General features: G+C 39.1%; 1 protein-coding gene and 1 long non-coding RNA gene across 5 annotated transcripts in view, besides 3 other annotated features; one reads left to right on the top strand and one right to left on the bottom strand.

The window, feature by feature from the left end:
* The window catches only part of PHLPP1 (PH domain and leucine rich repeat protein phosphatase 1), a 264,893-nt gene that overhangs the window by 203,029 nt on the left and 40,957 nt on the right, over positions 1-20,907 (bottom strand). The window lies entirely within an intron of this gene.
* LOC105372160 (uncharacterized) lies at positions 3,550-20,088 on the top strand. Of its 4 annotated transcripts, XR_007066398.1 has the most exons (5): positions 3,550-3,589; positions 7,393-7,498; positions 9,387-9,431; positions 18,487-18,554; positions 19,303-19,390. It is a non-coding gene; the product is annotated as an uncharacterized LOC105372160 (long non-coding RNA). The 4 variants fall into 4 exon arrangements; XR_001753476.2 differs by having other exon boundaries at positions 18,487-20,088; XR_001753474.3 differs by lacking the exons at positions 18,487-18,554; positions 19,303-19,390 and adding an exon at positions 12,029-12,112.
* Positions 13,655-13,764: an enhancer, noted in NCBI's record as "active region_13437". NCBI's record gives its function as "activates an Ori minimal core promoter by ATAC-STARR-seq in GM12878 lymphoblastoid cells {active_cell/tissue: GM12878}" and the evidence as "EXISTENCE:reporter gene assay evidence [ECO:0000049][PMID:35858748]".
* Positions 15,564-16,533: an enhancer, noted in NCBI's record as "NANOG-H3K27ac-H3K4me1 hESC enhancer chr18:60428105-60429074 (GRCh37/hg19 assembly coordinates)". NCBI's record gives its function as "activates a minimal SCP1, AML or CMV promoter by ChIP-STARR-seq in naive H9 embryonic stem cells {active_cell/tissue: H9 hESC(naive)}" and the evidence as "EXISTENCE:reporter gene assay evidence [ECO:0000049][PMID:30033119]".
* Positions 16,534-17,504: an enhancer, noted in NCBI's record as "OCT4-NANOG-H3K27ac-H3K4me1 hESC enhancer chr18:60427134-60428104 (GRCh37/hg19 assembly coordinates)". NCBI's record gives its function as "activates a minimal SCP1, AML or CMV promoter by ChIP-STARR-seq in primed H9 embryonic stem cells {active_cell/tissue: H9 hESC(primed)}" and the evidence as "EXISTENCE:reporter gene assay evidence [ECO:0000049][PMID:30033119]".

Raw genomic sequence — 20,907 nt, 5'->3', positions numbered from 1 at the left:
CTTTCACAACTCAATAACAACCCAATAAGAAAAATGGGCAAAAGATCTAAACTCACATCTCATAAATGAAGATATCTGAATGGCACATGGAAAGATGCTCAAAATCATTCACCATCAAAGAAATGCAAATTTAAGCTACAATAAGATACCACTACAAGCTCATTAGAATGGCTCAAATTTAAAAGATTAACACCAAATACTGCAGAGAATGTAGAGCATTTGGAACTTTCAAACACTGCTAGTGAAAATGCAAAATGGTATAAACACTTTGGAAAATGGTTTGGCAGTTTCCTTTAAAATTAAACGAACATCTACCATTGGGTTGCTAAATATTTACCCCCCAAAAATGAAAACATGTTCACAGAAACTCTTGTAACACCAATGTTCATAACACATTGTTCATATTAGCCAAAAACTAGAAATAGCCCAAGTGTCCATCAATAGGAGAATGACTAAACAAACTGTCATGTATTCATACAATACAATACCAGTCAGCAGGCTGGGCATGGTGGCTCACGCCTGTAATCCCAACACTTTGGGAGGCGGAGGCAGGTGGATCACAAGGTCAGGATATTGAGACCATCCCGGCCAACATGGTGAAACCCCGTCTCTACTAAAAATACAAAAATTAGCCGGGTGTGGTGGCGGGTACCTGTAATCCCAGCTACTTGGGAGGCTGAGGCAGGAGAATCACTTGAACCCAGGAGGCAGAGGTTGCAATGAGCTGAGATCACACCACTGCACTTCAGCCTGGGCCACAGAGTGAGACTCCGTCCCAGAAAAAAAAAAAAAAAACACTCAGCAATAAAAAGGAATGAACTACTGAATACAACATGGGTGAATCTCAAAGTCATTCTACTGAGTACAAGTGAGCAGATGCAAAAAGAGTAAGTGATGGCTCAATTTTGTATGTCAACTTGGCTAAGATACAGTAGGTGTTGCTGTGAAAATATTTTATAAATGTGATTAACTACACTCAGTTGACTTTAAGTAGACTTCCCTCTATAATGTGGGTGGGCCTAATCTAATCAGTCGACGGCAATAAGAACAAAAAACAGATTTCCCAGAGGAAGAGGAATTCTGACTCAATACACTAACATAGAAATCCTGTCTACATTTCCAGCCTGCCCTACAGATTTTAGACTCAAAATTACAACATCAATTCCTGTCTGAGTTTCCAGCTTGCTGGCCAGCCCTACAAACTTCAAACTCAAGACTGTAGCACAGAATCTTAACATGAGTTTCCAGCCTGTCAGCTTGCCCTAAAACTGTTGGACTTACCAGTTCCCATAAGCAAGCCAATTCCTTAAAATAAACTTCTTTATATATATATTTTTTTAAATCTCTTTATAGATATATATCTATGCCTATGTATAGACATAGATAGGCTATCTTATTGGTTCTCTTTTTCTGGAGAACCCTAATACAACATTTTGTATTTATATGAAATTTATATAAATTATGCAATTTATACAAAATTATAGAAATGCAAACGAATCTCTAGTGACTAAAGGTAGATAATGAACTTGGTTCCCTAGGTCAAGGGTAGATAGAGGATAAACATTGCAAAGTGGCATGAGAAAACTTCTGGGGATGACGGAAATCTTTTATATCTTGACTGTGGTGGTGGTTTCACAGGTGGATATAGGTCAAAACTGATCTAATTATATACTTCAAATGACAGTTTACTGTATATAAATTATACCTCAATAAATTATAGCTAAAAGTGGACAACTAGGTGAATGATAGTGTCATTAGTCGAGATAAAAAATACATGAAGAATACGTGCTGAAGTGGATTTACCTTTAGTCACACTCAACTGTGGTTCTACTGGGACATTGTGGTAATGCCAAGAAAGCCAATGAATATATGAGTTTAGACCTGAAAAGATAAATGTGAGCTGAATGCAACTTTGGGAGTTGTCTGCACAAAAGTAATAAGAATGGCTAGGGACAGATTTGATGAGAACAAGATAGCAAGTAAAGAAAAGGAATGTCTTATTAGTGGGCTGGGCGCGGTGGCTCACGCCTGAATCCCAGCACTTCAGGAGGCCGAGGCGGGTGGATCACCTGAGGTCATGAGTTCAAGACCAAGCTGGTCAACATGTTAAAAACCCTGTCTCTACTAAAAATACAAAAAATTAGCCGGGCGTGGTGGTAGGCGCCTATAATCCCAGCTACTCAGGAGGCTGAGGCAGTAGAATTGCTTGAACCCGGGAGGCAGAGGCTGCAGTGAGCTGAGATGGCGCCACTGCACTCCAGCCTGGATGACAGAATGAGATTCCGTCTCCAAGAAAAAAAAGAATGCTTTATTAGTGTCCCACAGATTCTGCTATTGGGTCTTTTGTGACCTGAGGAATGTAGTTTCAATAGAGTAGTAGGGTTGGAAGGTGGACTGAAATCAGTTTTAGAAATAAAAGGAAATTCTTTTAAAGTGACCATGGTGATTATGGGTTATTTTTTTTAAGACATTAGCTATAAAAGCAAGAGAAAAGGAGGTTGATAAATAGGAATGAGAACTAAGAAGGGTTTTATTTTTTGCTTTTTTTTTTTAGAGGTATTTTTGTTTGTTCCCATTTCATGTGCTATTCATTTGAGCTGAAATATTAGTTTTGTTTGTACACAGAAAACATTTGAACACTTTTATAGCCAGAAAGAATGAGCCCACAATGTTGGCAGGTTGACACCACAAAAGGAAAGGATAAGGTTTCTAAACGAAAGTCAAGAACACAGATGAAATTGTTACCTTAAATAATCATCTCAATGGGTTCTACAAATTCTTAAGACAGCTTTCAAATTTACTGCAATTTTAAGTGTGTATATAATGCCTCTTTTAAAAGAAGGGATGGGAATCATTATGATATTAGCTCAGTCAAGGGCAAAGGAAGACTTACTAAATGACCTCTATGTCAAAACCTTTCACAGTTATCATCACATTTAGACATCACAACTTTGCAATCCATTTGTAGAAGAAAAACGAAAGGCTCAGAGAGGTCAAGTGACCTTCCCAAGGTCAAAAACCCAATTGGCAGCTGACAAAGGCTCAAAATGAAGCTGATCTGACTTCAGTCTCCTTGCACTTCCCCATGCCATGCTACGTGTCTAACAATCTGGAAGTATCACAGAGGAGCAAAAATAGCTGAATTCAGCTGCAGTGAACAGTATCAGGAAAGAAGAGAAAAAAACTGTCCGGGACCACATATTATACCTGGCCTTAAATCTATCCAAGCTAACCAGATTTTGGACAACAGACCAATGAAGGAGCCAATGAATCAGTACATATATCACAAGAAGGCTGCTACACAGACTGAATGTTTGTGCCCCCACCCACAAAAAAACATGTATTAAAATACTAACCCCTAATGTGACGGTGTTAGAAGTGAGACCTTTGGGTGGTGATGATGTTGTGAGGGCAAAGCACTCATGAATGAGATTAGTGACCTCATAAAAGCAGCCCCAGAGAGCTGCCTTGCCTTTCCTGCCAGGTGAGTACACAGTGAGAAGATGGCCAACTATAAGCCAGGAAACAGGCCTCCATCAACAAGGAATCTGCCGGCAACTTGATCTTGGACTTCCCAGCCTCCAGGATTGTGAGAAATCAATTATGTTGTTTATAAAACCACACATTCTATGATATTTTATAATGGCAGCCTAAACGAACTAAGACAGGGTTGTGTCATTTTCTACCAAATTCACAGCAACATCAGCAATGGCTTTTCAAATTTCAGTTATTTGAGCTTCCTCAACATTTAGGGTGGAGATACACTACATTTTGGTTAACAACAAACAAACAGAACCCATCCCCCTCACCCCAAAAATAATTTTATTTAGGAAATTAACCTCCCTAAAAATCTGGCATGTTTTGGAGGCAAAGAAGTATGAATAAAGAAAACACACAAACGAACAACAAGGAAACTTTCCATGTAGCCAAAGTTCTCACAACACCCATCTCTGAAATGCACTACTTTATCTCAGGGAGACAAGTAAGGTAAACTATATCAAGGCCATAGGGAAGCTCCAAAAAAAATCATGAAGTACAAAGTTCAAACAACATTACAGGTTTTGAAGGGCTTTGACAACGTTCCACCTTCTACCTATGGAGACTTGTAGCTAACACAAATGTCCCATTATACTGCTTGATGTTTTCCAGCAGCTAAAACCTGTGAAACATGTTAAAAAGAAAAAAATTAAGTGGGGTGGGGATCTTAGAGTAGATCCAATTCAGCAGTACCACAGAAACTAAAGTTTAAATAAGGAGACTCTCAAAACTCCAGCAGCCTAGGGTTCCCAGCATGACAAAATCCAAGCCTTTTTCATTCCTGTTGCTTCCCACATTCATCTCTTCCCTTTGGCTTCCAAGAACATCACATACTGCTTACAACCTTGACTGGGCCTCAGCATACCATAAAGGTCCATTGTACTCAATTTTAGAGTTTTTTTTGGGGGGGTGGGAGAGGAATTCTTTTTTGAGCAGTTCTAACTATATATAAGGATTGTATTTTGTTACTTGTTTTTTTCTTGGACACCTTCCAAAGAACAAAAAGAAAGAGAAAATCTTTTTTTTTTTTTTTTTTTGAGAAAGAGTCTTGCTTAGTAGCCCAGGCTGGAGTGCAGTGGCACAATCTCAGCTCACTGTAACCTCCACCTGCCAGGTTCAAGCCATTCTCATCCCTCAGCCCCCCAAGTAGCTGGTACTACAGGCATGTGCCACTACGCCCAGCTAATTTTTTTATTTTTAGTAAAAATGGGGGTCTCACCATGTTGGCCAGGCTGGCCTTGAACTCCTGACCTCATGCGATCCACCCACATCGGCCTCCCCAAGTACTGAGATTACAGGCATGAGCCAGCATGCCCAATTTAAATTTAATTATTTTTTAAAAACAATAAAATTCACTATCTTTCAAGCCAGATGGGTCTACTGGAGCATTTCATCAACCCAAGATATGTTATGGGATCCTAGTGATCTCGCTTTTCCTGTATCTTAAAACACTTTATTTCATCACCCTAAGAATTATTTCACTATTACACATCAATTATTGCCAATTATGCTTAAAAAAAATAAAGAAAACAGAACAGAAAAATGGAATCCTATTTTCCATGATACGATATAATGATGAAATAAATTATTACTATTATATTATCATCCTTTAGTTTTCTTATTGCATTACCCACAACATTACATAACCTTCCAGAAGAGTTTCAGACTAAACATACTAACTTTATAGTCTGCTTTTAGCTTTCACTGAACACAGTTGAGAATTCAGAATTTTTCATTTTCTGCCCACAATGGCAAAGAGAAGTGACAAATGGAGACACAGCACAGTTACGTCAGAAGATGAATGCAAAGAGACAGATGACAGCACTCTAGCATCAGATTCTGATGAAAGGAGAAGAAGACAGAAGAAAGAAGAAGAAGAAACTGATCATACAGGCTGAATGTCCCTAATACAGAAATCTGAAGTGCTCCCAAATCTGAAACTTTTTGAGTGCCAATAAGATGCCAGAAGCAGGCAATGGACATTGTTAACACTGCAGAAGAAGTGCTTATTGATGACTGGTGAAAATGGCTGATGGGCTTACTGAAGGCCTAGAGTAGTGTGCATTCTTAACAGAAGAAGGTATCAATCATATCAATTTTTAAAATCAAAGAGAGATGTCTAAGATCAAAACCAGTGTTAACGACGCAGATGACTCTAGAGGAAACATTTTTAGAAGCCAACCAGCAGAAAGCCTCCTCATAACTAGAGGACCCACTTCCTGGTCCCTCAACTGCTTCTGATGTTTCTTCTCTCCTAAAAAAGCTCAGTGTGCACTAACCTTTTAATCAAAACACAACATCATCAGTGTACGGATGGGTGAATTTTTAAACAAAAACACAGCATTATAGGTGGAGACTAAAAACCTGCCATTGTTCATTGGGGCTGTTGTTTAACAGATGGTACAGGTAATTCTGTTGATGCTTTTCTGCTTACAGGCTTAGTTACCATGAACACATTATTTTTTCACTGTATTAATGGTATGTCATATTTCTCACTGTTAAGAACTCATGTGTGAATAAGTATAAGAAAATGATTGCTTAATGGTAGCATATACATTCAAAGTCAGGAACAATGGTGATGCCAAACCACCTCAGATGATCCACATGGATGGCTGAGATAGTGACAACTTTGCTTTCTTTTTTTTTTTTTTTTTTTGAGACAGTCTCACTCTGTCGCCCAGGCTGGAGGGCAATGGCGCAATCTCGGCTCACTGCAACCTCCACCTCCCGGGTTCAAGCGATTTTCCTGCCTCAGCCTCCCAAGTAGCTGGGATTACAGGTGTGCGCCACCATGCCCAGTTCATTTTTGTATTTTTAGTATAGATAGGTTTACACCATGTTGGCTGGTCTCAAACTCCTGACCTCAGGTGATCCACCCACCTCGGCCTCCCAAAGTGTTGGGATTACAGGCGTGAGCCACCGCGCCCAGACCATCTTTGCTTTCTAAAGGTTCAATGTATATACCATCTTTGTTTCATGCACAAAATTATTTTAAAATATTATATAAAATTACCTTCAGACTATGTGTATAAGGTGTATAGGAAACATAAATGAACTTTGTGTTCAGACTTGGATCCTATCCCCAAGATATCTTATTATGTATATGCAAATATTCCCCACCCCCCCCAAAAAAATTCCAAAATCCAAAACACTTCCGGTTCCAAACATTTTGGAAATGGAATATTCAATCTGTGTAAGCGAAATCCAAACTATGAATCTTTAATGAAGACATCCTACATGGATTTTCTCAAATTCAAGAACCGATGCATCACCAATATATTTCTAAATGCAAAAAGAATGTATGGTGTTCTCATCCAAAAAGTTATTCAACAGAAAGGACTACATGGTGCAATATTCTACAATAAGAATTTGAACCATACCATTTTGCTAAAATGGCCTGTAACAAAACTTCATATGGTTGTTACTGGATTGCAAGTTGACACATGTTAACCAGAGTAGGCCGGGCACGGTGGCTCACACCTGGAATCCCAGCACTTTGGGAGGCCAAGGCAGGTGGATCACCTGAGGTCAGGAGCTTGAGACAAGCCTGGCCAACAAGGTGAAACCCCATATCTACTAAAAATACAAAATTAGCCAGGTGTGGTGGTGCATGCCTGTAATCCCAGCTACCTGGGAGGCTGAGGCAGGAGAATCGCTTGAAACCAGGAGGCGGAGGTTGCAATGAGCCAAGATCATGCCAGTGCACTCCAGCCTGGGTGACAAAAGTGAAGCTCCATCTCAAAAATAAATAAATAAAAATAAAATAAAAATAAAAAGACTAGTAGGAAATACATGATTTGGAAATAAAAAATATTCACTAGATTGATGATGCTAATTGGCTTTTTACAAACCTAGGAAGAAAAATATGTTGCAAACATGGAGGAAAGATGATGGCCTCCTTCAACAGAACTATGAGTTGTCCAAGATTTCACAAAGTTCTTCAAGCATGGCATTTGATGATGTAAGTACAAGAAGAACAAAAAGTAATGATAAGGTAGAACTTATTAGAGATGTATTTGAAATATGGAATCAGTATTAATAAGATGGAAATGTTCTAGATTCACGTATAACAGTTGATGAACAGTTAGCTGCATTTTAGCACATTACTCATTTGGAATACATCATGGAAGAAGAATTTGGGTATACTATGCTTAAATTCTTATTAAAGTATTCTAATAAAGCTGTTCTCCCTATCCTTTTATTGTTCTGTACATTATTTGTAAAGTGAAAACTGCACAAACATTACAAAAGAGCCATTGGATCCAGACAACAAACAGTAATGGCCTATTTTTCCTGGTATATGAAAGACAGAGCATCTTGGTGACATTTCTGTGAATGTTTAAAAAAAAGATGCATTTTAGAAACAAAGAATACATCCTTTGAATCCTCGCATGATTACACAAGAGTTTGTTTAAAGTTGTTTATCCTCCCTCCCCACAGCAATCACATCTAGTTATTCTACTCATTTCAAAATCAGAAATCATCTTTTTTCACTTGGTCAATACTTTTTCTAAAATAAAACGCTTCAAAACAGCCTGGCAGAAACCAGGGATTACATAAAATCCTCTTTAAGAACATTCCTACCTCTGGACTTCTGATTCCACAATACTAAAAGGCTTAGTCAAGATTTACATCTAATGTTCCACTAAAATTCAAATATATTTCTGATCTACAATTTCTAATCACACTTGACTTTGTTTCTTTCAGTTAAATAATCTCTGAAAGTTTGATACAGAATGCTAAGCGAATGAGCAGTTCTTAATAATTTCTAGATATCAGAGTTATTCTTTTAAGGACTTAGTCTATCTTTATTATTAGCAATCATTTATAGATGATATATTAAACTTTCAATAGTTTATTTCTAATTCAACCTTGATGATCAATGAGGATAGCAGCCATCACTAACAGACTGTCATCCCCACCATCACCCCAGAGAATACAGCATATAAATCATTTTCTTGATACCTATAAACTAAAATTATAATTCTGATAGCTAAAAGCTTACTAAGGCATAAATTGTTTGCTTTTATCCTAATAAAACCCAGTTTCCGGTATTTGCTCTCTCTAGTCTTTTTTTCCCCCATCTCCTTTTTCATTGTTAGGTAATCATATAATTTCTCCTCCCCACCTACATAATGGTTTGATTATTGTCACTGAGAATGCCTAGAGCAGCCTCTTTTCCACTTGCATGTTTCTAATATAACCACGTAACTAAGCTCAGCAGAATTATATTTAAAGATAATAAAATTTGATCTGGGTAAGGTTTAGTGACTTCCAATTTAGGACAGAGAATTTTCCAACTTATTTTCTCATTTTTGCCTGTATTACAGATAGGTATGGTTGTTAAAGAAACTTTTGTTGTACTGTTTCTGTTGTTTACAGAGTAATGTAATTTTTAAACTTATATTCCAGAGAGATATAAAATAGCCTCCTCCATCGTCAGCCAATGATATCACTGTTGAGCTGTTTTCAATAAAAGTTCATGCTGTACTTCCTGCCTCACAGGTCATGTCTGGTTCCGTTTTTGGATCCTCTCCACTGTATTCAATCCCTTTGGTTCTCAAGGTGACTACTGACTGATCAGGGGCTTGAAAAAAGGGAGACAATATTGATTTTTAATTTGTTTTTGTTTTTCTCTAATCATAGCAGCTGAAATTTTTCATCCAAGCTGTGGCCTCTTTGACTACTACATTGCAGTTCTCAAACTTTTAACTTTAGACTTCTCTGGATAGTTTCTAAGATATAAATTAAATTCAGTGTCAATGAAAACAAACTTACAAAACAGGCCTTCTTGGCAACACCCCTCTCCCCAGATATAGAGGTGCTAATGGATTCTCATCCTCTCCTAGGAGCCCTAAGATGACTTGAGCCTCACGTCAACTCTCTTTGCTACAGTTAAGTCAATTCTCTTTTCTTAGTTATCTAAGTGCCAGCCAAATACTGCATCTTAGCATTTTTCATTCCAAACCACTTTGTGGATGAAGAGGGCCACACTGAAATGGGCCACTCCCTGAACTGATTGGTTTTCTGCTATTGTACTCTATTTAACCAGATAGGAAAAAATAAAACAGCACAATTTCTCTAACACAAAAGCAGTACAGTCTATATTCTCCCCCATGCCTCCAAACACACATGCCACCAGATTCAAACAGCTGTTACCCACTTACCTATTTAGAAATGCAATCAAATATAAATATTTTCAGAGACAGATCAATTCTTGCATTCTAAAACTCTGTGGCAACAGTAATTCTTATGAGTCATTACCTAAGATTTCACGCCTATGCCACAGGCAAGTCATGCTCCAAACTGTTCAATCATTTCATTTAAAGCGCTCAAAAACTGAATTGGGTTTTGCCATATATGGGCCGTAACTTTTCATGTACGGAAGAATGGATCAAATCCAACAGAAAACTGCAAATGATTTTCTCTCTAGTTTTATACAGTAATGGGTTTATTCTCCCAAATTCTAGGACTTTCTCAAGTGGTTGCAGGAATTGCGGTTTTGGCTCTCTTAAGCCAATGTAAGCACATTTCCCACTGTTCATTAACTGAGAGAAGGCCAAATAACATTGTGGCACTTTTGAAAAGCTGAAGGAATCTCGGTTTTAGTGGTCTCCTTTGAAATTATGTATTTTAACCTTCCCCATTCCTGTTGGAAAATTAATTTTCCTGATCTGATATTGTCTCCTTTCCATATACTGAGATATCATAATACTATGATTTAGGGCCTGATACCGAGTTAAATGCTCAAAGCGAGATATTTTTCATTTGCTGTATCCACTCACTGCCACCCCCTCCACCATTTCTTGTAATCCAAGGATCTGGCAGGAGAGTGGCTGGCAGGAGCTAGAATTTAATCTGTGGATGGCAGTTAATTATAAAATAACAGGTCCCAGCTTGTTTCTACTTTCCACCCCCAAGAACATTTATAAATCTATACATCTGTAGACAGTTTATCTTTCAAAAACTTCTCATTTTAAATTTGTTACCCTCACATAACTCTTAAGAGTTAGTGATTGGTAACTCGATTTTAGAGATGAAGTCTTTGGTGTTGAAGTAAAAGAGATTCAATATTTAACACCCTTATTTTTCCAGCCCAAGTTCAAAACCAGTAAGACAGGAAAGCCAGAAAGAAAAATATATATTTATCTGATATATAATATACAGCTGATATATTATATAGAGTGATATACACAGATAATAGCTTTATTACTAATAAAGCGTAGGTTGGAAAAGGTAGCTTAGCTCTATTAGTTGAGTGGTCTTGGCTAATATTTCACCCCAGAATTAGGCCAGTTTCTCTACCTAGTCACAGGTGCAGCTCACCAGGCAGAGGCCTCCCTGAGGAGGACTGCCCCTATAAAACTCACAGCGTGAACAAGCACAGCAGAATGCAAGATCTGTAGGAAAGGAATGAGCTGAAACTAGACAGGCCCAGTTCCTTTTTCCAAACTCGAAGATAAGTCACTTCTCCTCCCCTAGGGAAGACTAAAGTGAGGGAGTTACTAGAGAGGCCAGGAGTATTATCCCAGTGAATGCCCATCCCATACAAGCATGCAAACACGAAACCAGAAGAAAGAAAGTTATTCCCCAAAATGCAGCACCAAGGAACCTCAAGTTGCCCCCAAAGCCAGGCTGACATTCCCCAGTTCCCACACGTTGAACTTGCTGACTGAAACAGTTTTCCTCTCCACCTATCTAAATCCTATTCATCTTACATTATTATCTCCAATTCTCCTTTTCTGTACAAATATATATATATTTTATATATATATATATATATATATATATTTTTTTTTTTTTTTTTGAGATGGAGTCTAGCTCTGTCGCCCAGGCTGGAGCGCAGTGGCGCGATCTCGGCTCACTGCAAGCTCCCCCTTCTCGCTCTGTCGCCCAGGCTGGAGTGCAGTGGCGCAATCTCGGCTCACTGCAAGTTCCGCCTCCCAGGTTCACGCCATTCTCCTGCCTCAGCCTCCCGAGTAGCTGGGACTACAGGCACCTGCCACCACACCCAGCTAATTTTTTTTTGTAATTTTAGTACAGACGGGGTTTCACCATGTTAGCCAGGATGGTCTCAATCTCCTGACCTCGTGATCCACCCGCCTTGGCTTCCCATAGTGCTGGGATTACAGGCGTGAGCCACTGCGCCCGGCCCCTTTTCTGTACAAATATTTTATGTCACTTACCCTTTTTGAGAACACATGCATCTTAAAAACTACATGCTTTACCCTGTAGATCTACTTAAGCAGATACATGGAAGCTTTAATAGACTGCAATATGCTGAGAAGCAACAAACAGTGGAAGACCATTAATTCATCTTGCAGTCTTCCCTTGGGTACTTCAAGATATATGAGCAAATGGCTTATAGAGCCAATAAAGGTACCAATGCATGCACCAAATATTAGTAAAGCTTAACTTAAGCATAAATACAGCTTGAATATTTTCTTTTCATATCCAAATGTACTTATTTGCATACCTCCTATTATGCCAGCGCCCCTCTTTGGAGACCACCACTTCATGCAATGGGGAGTGACATTAGGGCTGAACTTTAAGAAAGAGAACTCTGACAGTAATGAGAAGACAGAAAAAGAGAATGACCAGATATCCAAAATGGGATCGTAGCATCGAACATGAGAAGGCCATGCATAAGATGGGGTAGGTCCAATCAACAAAATTTGAAAAAAGGTCAGCTTTGGAGTGGTCTGAAAAGGGAGACAAAGGAGGAGACAGAATTCTGGATGATTTCACGGTAACAATCCTGAGTGACTTGGAGGATATAATAGTATTAACTAAAAAGGAAAATGCACAAGACAGCAATTTGAGGGAAGGACATTTAGATGAAGAGATCCTTGAGAAATACATGCATTTAAAAGACAAGTGGGAGAGAAACTAATGAAGGAGCTGAAAATGGCCAATGACACTGGAAAAGAACGACGACAGTAAAGTGTCCTAGTAGCCAAGGGAAGAGAGAAAGCACTTTTTAAAGGATGAGATGATCACTTGTGTCAACTTCTGTCAATAATTAAAGGAGACAAGGGACAAGATGACATCCGTGGATATGGCAAATAGCCAATAATAATGAAAGCTAGCATCACATCTGCTGCATGCTTGTCACATGCCAGGCACACCACTTCAAGAGTTGTACAAGTAAGAACCCATTTCATCCCCAAGAACCCTAGGACGTAAGTGTGACTAGCATCCCCATTTTGGTGCTCAGCCTCTCGAGTAGCTGGGCTTACAGGCATGCGCCACCAGGCCCAGCTAATTTTTGTATTTTTAGTAGAGACGGGGTTTCACCATGTTGGCCAGGCTGATCTCGAACTCCTGACCTCAGGTGATCCACCTGCCTTGGCCTCCCTTGTACAAGTAAGAACCCACTTCATCCCCAAGATGAACGTTAAGTGTGACTAGCATCCCCATTTTGGTTCATCCCCAATTTCATTTCATCCCCAAGAACCATAGGACATAAGTGTGACTAGCATCCCCATTTTGGTAACCAACAAGAAAATTAAATCCATAATAAGGAAGAGGCAGAACCCAAAGTGGATGGGGCTGAGGACAAATGAAAGGTGAGAAAGAATAATCTGCCTATAAATGAACAGAGGTATAAGAAAACAGAACAGCAGCTGCAGGTAAAAATGGTTTTGTTTGTTTGTTTGTTTTGTGTTTTTTTGGTTGTTGTTGTTTTTTTTTTTTTTTTTTTTGAGATGGAGTTTCACTCTTGTTGCTCAGGCTAGAGAGCAATGGCTTGATCTTGGCTCACTGCAACCTCCGCCTGCCGGGTTCAAGCGATTCTTCTCCCTTAGCCTCCCAAGTAGCTGGGATTATAGGCATGCACCACCACGCCCGGCTAATTTTTGTATTTTCAGTAGAGATGGAGTTTCTCCATGTTGGTCAGGCTAGTCTTGAACTGCTGACCTCAGGTGATACACCCGCCTCAGCCTCCCAAAGTGCTGGGATTACAGGTGTGAGCCACCGCACCCAGCTTGATTTTTAAGACAGAAACTATTTGAGCATTTAAGCGTTTACCAACTGAAGAGACAGAATCTAGGTCTGCCCCATAGAAAAAAAAATCTCTGGTGCTACTGGGAAAAGTCACGAAGACAGAGGTATGATGTCAAAGAGTCCAGAAAGTAGACAGAGAAAGAAATACAGTAGAGAATAGCATAGTGTCACCAAACAATAGTGTCACAGCACCATGGACTGACTGACTCTGACAGTGAGAAAACTAAAAAAGAGGGACTGAGAAAGAGTAAGATCTGAGAGGAATCAGACAGAAATAGTAGCTGTGTAGCAGTCTCGGAGTTCCTTCCATCCCAAAACAAGGGTGCGATGAGCGACAGCAGTTCAGTACAGGCTGCAAAAGGCTGAATGAGGTGTTCGCATGACTTGCTGCACGGGAGACTAGAAAACCTGGCAAAAGGTAGAGTCCAGGGCTGAAGACAGCAGATGTCCAGGGCCTACTCAACCTATAGGAAAAGCACTGGGTGATCTTCCCCTGCTTTTTGGTAGCGCCCTGCTTCCTCCCGAGTTCCACCGGAGGTCAGAGAACACAGTTTCAGGTTTCACACTATATACTTATTTCAGAAGCATGCAGAGTTATGCAGAAAAAAGGACACTCAAAGAGCAGTAGAACAGACAAGTTACTGCAACCACTTTAGCTGCACAGGTTGGCTACTTCTCTACACAGCTTGGGAGCTCATGCATAGCCCGGAGGGAGAAGTGATTGCTAGAGAACAAAAAAATTAGTAACTGAGTCATACGGGGAAAATTTCTGGATAAAAATTTTAATTGGCTAGGTGGATCCTTAGACTGGTAGACTTTGTGGATTTAGCTGCAAAGTGTATTTAAAGGAGTGTTAAAAAGTAACAACTGTTGTTTTAGATATTTTACAATTTATATTTCTAGGATAAAAACACTAAGAACTCTTTTCCATAAACACCTCTATTGCAACCATTATGGTAAAATTAAAAAATAATCAATATTTTAAAATGAATTATATACATGCAATAGAGGTATTTCCTTTGAGCAATTTATATCCTACTTAGATTAATCATAAAAACCAAGGTCGCAAAATTAAAGAATTGTTCTAATTTTTAAAATTTAAATTCAAAGCATAAATCTACATGAAAATCACGTAAAATCAAGAGAACAGGTAGGGCATGGTGGCTCACACTTGTAATCCCAGTACTTTGGGAGGCCAAGGCAGGTGGATCATTTGAGGTCAGGAGTTCGAGACCAGCCTGGCCAACATGGTGAAACCTCGTCTCTACTAAAAATGCAAAAATTAGCTGGGCATGGTGGCACACATCTGTAGTCCCAGCTACTTAGGAGGCTGAGACAGGAGAATCGCTTGAACCCAGGAGGTGGAGGCTGCAGCAAGCCGAGATTGCGCCACTGCACTCCAGCCTGGGTGAAACTGTGAGACCTTCTCAAAAAAAAAAAAAAAAAAGATAAAAAAATAAAAATCAAGAAAACAGAAGTAATTTCTAGAAAAACACTAGTTTCTTTTAAGGTTTTTTTTTTTTAATAATTACAGAAAGATTATAAACTGAATGGAAAAGACTTGGGTTCAGTGTCAGCCGATAATTATTTACAGGATCCTAAACAATCAATTCCCTCTTTAGGACTCAATCTGTTCAATACAGATGAGTGACGACCTGAACTAGATACAAAGTACATCAAAACCATAGCTTTACAAATGCAGACAGTCAATTTTCTAGAACAAAAACAGGATTCTATTTAGCTGGGTGGTGAGGAATACTCATAGCACTTATAATTTATTAATTTAAAAATCCATATTAATTGTTATTAAGAATAAAAAATATTACTTAGGTTTCACATACTAAGTAAAAGCTTTAGATCTTCATTAGGTTTAAGATCATCTAATTATAATGAGGATAGAGTGTAGGACATTTTTCCCAGTATTTTCTAAATCTGTTTAAAAAATGCTTACAGAGGACCAGTGCGGCAGCTCATGCCTATAATCCCAACACTTTGAGAGGCTGAGGCAGGAGGACTGCTTCAGGGCCAAGAGTTCAAGACCAACCTGGCCAACATAGTGAGACTCTGTCATTATTTTTTTAAAAAAAGAAAAATGCTTACAGAAATGTATCAAATTCAGTACCTCTACTTCAAATTTGTAGAAGGCCTGTTATTTTTTCTTTACATTACTAATACCATCATTTCTTTTTTTTTTTATTTTTTATTTTTTTATTTTTATTTATTTTTTTTTGAGACGGAGTCTCGCTCTGTCACCCAGGCTGGAGCGCAGTGGCGCGATCTCGGCTCACTGCAAGCTCCGCCTCCTGGGTTCACGCCATTCTCATGCCTCAGCCTCCCAAGTAGCTGGGACTACAAGCGCCCGCCACCACATCCGGCTAATTTTTTTGTATTTTTAGTAGAGACGGGGTTTCACCGTGTTAGCCAGGATGGTCTCGATCTCATGACCTCGTGATCTGCCCGCCTCGGCCTCCCAAAGTGCTGGGATTACAGGCGTGAGCCACTGCGCCCGGCCCTACCATCATTTCTTAATAAACCATATTCTTTTAACACCTTGCTTAGAGAACAGTACCATTTAATTATCACCATTCCTTCCAGAATATTTGAAAGAGATGCTGCAATGCTTTTAAGTTTTAACAAGATTTGTCGATCTCCAGAGAGTCTGCACATATGCAGCATTGTTATTAAAAATGCCAGGGAAGTCCAGGCACAGTGGCTCATGTCTGTAATCCCAGCACTTTGGGAGGCCAGGGCGGGCAGATTGCTTGAGCTCAGGAGTTCAAGACCAGTCTGGGCAACATGGCAAAATCCCATCGCTACAAAAAATACAAAAAAACTAGCTGGACAGTGTGGTGGCAGGTGCCTGTAGTCCCAGCTACTTGGGAGGCTGAGGCAGGAGGATCACCTGAGCTCAGAGAGTCGAGATGGCAGTGAGCCATGACTGTGCCACTGCACTCCCGCCTAGGCAGCCCTGTCTAAAACAAAATAAAATAAAACAAAACAAAACAAAATAATGCCAGGGAGACACTCATTCCAAGAGGTATCACTGTAAATTTCATCAAGTTTTGCTAAGCAGGCCACTAATAACAAACAAAAAACCCACCTTGTTTAAATCCCATTTTATATTCACCCTTCCTCTCCTCAAACTCTGAATTCCTACAAAATTAAATTATGTCCTCTAGTTTACAATGTGGACGTGGAGGAAGAAAACTAAAGAAGGGCAACAGAGAGAGCCTTGCACCAAGACCACAACCACTCCAGGGGGTGGGATTATATCCATTCCACACAGGAGGAATCGGAAGCTTTGAGAGCTGACGTAAAACTGGTAAACGGTGAAACCAGGATTCAAACCCAATTCTACCTGGCTGCCAAAACCACACATTGCTTTCCCCAGTTCACAGGCTATCACAGCATCAGCAGCAATCAAGGTAGAAAACCTAATCGAATATCACAAAAATAGGAACCCATCTGTGATGAGAAAACTTACAGATCTCGGACTGCAAACTGAAAATGCCTACAGGGCCAAGGCAAGTAATATAAAATGAAGGGAATTCAACGGGACTGGGAACAGGAGACCATGTGTATGTATCATCTACGGAGGCAGCTGCTGCTTCACTTCATGCAGGAATGTGGGCCTGGTGTTGCCAGATTTTGTGCTTCTTTTCAAGAGACACTGGAAATAATCTTATTATTTCATACTGACAATTAATTTTTAAAAATTAAACACACCACTGATCAAACAATATAAATCTGTAGACCACTAGTATCCATCCCTTAGAACTGCCAGTTTTCAACCTCCAGTATTCTGGGGGCACTACTATCATTTCTAATAGAAACAGAAATACAAAGACAAGTATGGAACCCAAGGGGCAAAGAGACACAGGTCTGAGAACAGCCGGAAGATTATAAAAACTAGATGAATCATATCCATTTAAGCCAAGATGAAATTAGTCACTAACTATATATTTCATTCCCAGGGTTTTAGTTTTCTATTTCCCAAAGAAAGAGCAAGGCTGCAAAAGAGAAGATTGGGTTGGGGGAGGGGAGGAACAATATAGCTAATGATGAAATGATACATAAATGGTAAGATGATTTTAATGCTCAGGCAAAACCCGCTCTTAACTGAGTCAGTCAACCACCAGTTACAGAAACTTGAAGATATCACTAATTCTGAACAAGATTAATTTGGGTGGGTAGAATTAGTCATTTCGTTATTAGTCCTTAATTTTAGCCATCAAAGCATAGCCAAGGGAAAGTAAGCATATCAGTGTGGTTACATTTCAAGCAAGATCTTGAAATTAAGACAAATATTTAGTATGTTCAAGAGATTTTGACAAATATTACTTAAGCCAAAGACACAAATGAGAACATACTCAATATAGCTAACTCTTCCCATCTCTCTATGCATCCTCTGTCTGTTGCATTTCCAAAGAAATATCTTTGTGAATAAATTCAGAAACATTTTAGCTGCAAACACAACAGAATCTCCAAAAGTACACACTGACCTAAGGCTGAAAAGAGTTTTCATTTAACAGGTGAGTGGAGATTTTTTTAAGCTATGGAAATGATTACATTTTTTAAACATTTTCCCAAACTTTTTGAGGTTGCAAGACAATTATTTTTACCTGTGTTTTTTCTGCAGCAGTCTTCTCACTGAATGACAGGGCCATCTGATACACTCCATACCATTATAGGCATGCAAACCCTTGATACGGATCCCACCACATAGTACTAAATCACCCTCTGTCATATTTATGTAATTTTTTAAAGTAGCTACAAGTTGTCTTAAGGACTGTTCTCTCTATCCTATGTACTTCCCACAAAGCAGACTCACAAATTCAACAAATCAACATTTCCATATAAATCTTGTTTTTGACTCCAGAACATCACAGTCGGCTCTGTAAACATTACACAGGAATTAAACACAAAATTTTCCTTTTTCCTTAGTTTAGAAAGACTTGGATTCAACAAGAGCCTCCATTCTCCCCTTATTGCAATCACCATGTGAAAAGAAGGTAATTTGCATTTGGTTCATTATCCTTAAAAGGAAGCAATTTTCAAAGAGGTGGAAAGATCGTTTTTTTGTTTTGTTTTGTTTTGTTTTGTTTCAACTCCTAAGGAAATCCTTCACTCTGGTGGCACGGGTTTTCCACATGCAAAATGCAAGTGCAGTCATAAACTGAAATTTTTTCTGAAATGGATTTACTAGGGAAAGTTACAAACTTAACAAGATGTCACATCTCTGCCTCAGACCAATCCACTCAACAGTACCTAGTTAAGGTGTCAGAGGCTCTTTACTTTAGCAAAAAGAAGCTAAATTTTTTTTATTTGCTTGCTAATTAGGGGTTTCTGTGACTACCCAAAGATGCACAAAGAAATAAAGGTTTTGCTTTTATCTAAAGAAACGGAGTAAGGAGAGAATACTATCATAACAGCATGGGTTGAGCACGAAAGGATACCCATTTACTAGATGACAAAAATCTTCACCAAGTTACTTAGCTTCCAAGTTACTTAGTGCTTTTCCCTTATCTTGGAAATGTCAGTTTACTGGCCTGAATTAGGTGTTTCATTTTGTCTTTTTAAAAGCTATGTTATTAATCACTGGAAGCCAAAATGATTTACTTTGGTAAAGGTACCCTATAGGGGTAAGAAAAAAAAGTTACAATTACAATTTTACCATCCAAAGTGCAACAACTTTTCTTAGAATAGGGAAAAAGATTTCTACTCTCTGCTAATAATAAACTTTAAATGTATATTTTTTAGAGCACTTGGAGAAAAAGGCATTTTACATTTGCAGAAGCTCCGCTCATGGGGTCGAAATGCATGCTGCCTCTACCACACTATAACCGACGAGCTTTTATTTAAAAGTGTCCCTAAACTAGAACTTTCCACAGCTGAAAACTAATTGAACATATTTCTTTCAAATCCGAACACACCAGTGAAAAAGGCCTTGCTCACGAAAACAAACACCTTAAGGGCCCAGAGCCAAATGGGCAAGATGAAAACGTTTTTGCAGGAAATATTCACAGGTTGAGTTGTTCACACAGGTCTGCAAGCAGGTGAAAGAGCAAGCCGCAAAAAGAGCTGCAAAACTGGAAAACAGCACAAGGGTGGCCCAAGGTAAGCAAGCACCAAGGCAACCAGGTATTCTGTGCCAGCTGAGGACCACAGGTGTCTTGCTAAAGAATTTAGAGAAGAAAAACTACATGTGTTTATAGCTTTATATTTAAGCTATAATAGACAGAGTCTACCTCTACCAGCACACTGCCAGTTTCAGAAGTCAGCGACGTCAGAAAAGGAGTGAAGGTTAGCCCTGAAAGAACAGAAAAGCAGCAAACTTTTCAGAAGTTAAAATGGGGACACCCCATACAAATGGGTAGAAGTATCCCAGTATGGCCTGCACTACAAAGAGAAAAATTAAAACACACCTTTTTCAAAACCTCAAAGAAAACTCCAAGCCTTATTTGAAACACAGAAGGACATCAGTACAACATTACTAACAAATCTCTAACAGTCAGCAAGAAATGAAATAAAAACTAATTAAATTCACACTTGAGTTTTATCTCACTCAAACAAGAACTGTTTCAGAGGCACTAAATACATCGGCCCATTACTGGTTTGCTTCATGTAGGTTTCTGTTTGTTTCAGTAGTCGTTCTATAAACTAATAAGAGATTATGTATTGAGGCCTTGTCTTCCTGTAAAGTATAAACTGGCACCTACCTACTGCAGTATTTTGCATACAATGTTGACGTCTGTACAAATAATGACATTTTGCTTGAAAACCAAGTTTTAACGTTAAGGATACCCCTTGTCCACTCAAGTCTCTCTTTTATGTATCATATTACACTCATCAAAAATTAGCATCTCCCATCACCTCTAGAGACAAAAGTCTCAATCGTATGTACATGCACCGCAGTGAGTATGGCAGACATTGCTGGAGGCTCATTCTACACTTCTCTTCTTGATCAAACCCCACTTTTGTTGAAGTATCTACCTGTCCTGCAAATAGCCATGTGCTTCAGGAGAAAGTCAACCCTGCCCCTAACTCCAACAAAGAGATTCTCATTTCTAAACCAATCATGGTAACTGGTTCAGAATGGGTATATTACAATTCCTCCCACTGATACGTGGGAAACCTAACTGGGGGCTTTGGGGAATTTTTCTTAAGAAAAAGTATCCGTTTCTTCCTATCCCCCTCTTCTCTAGACTGTCGTTTCCAAAAGTGTTATGTAGAACCGCCGCAGCAGCATATGGCCAAGAGCGAAGCCTGCCTGAGAGCAAACCGCCAAGTCAAGGATAGCAGAGCTCAGAGAGAAAAAACTAAAGTCCTTAAGGACATCAATGAGTTCCTCATCATACCACATAT

This window comes from Homo sapiens, chromosome 18 (genome assembly GCF_000001405.40).
Source record: "Homo sapiens chromosome 18, GRCh38.p14 Primary Assembly".
NCBI classification, from domain to species: Eukaryota; Metazoa; Chordata; class Mammalia; order Primates; family Hominidae; genus Homo; species Homo sapiens.
The sequence above is the reverse complement of the archived record's forward strand: the minus strand, read 5'-3'. Positions and strand labels throughout refer to the sequence as shown.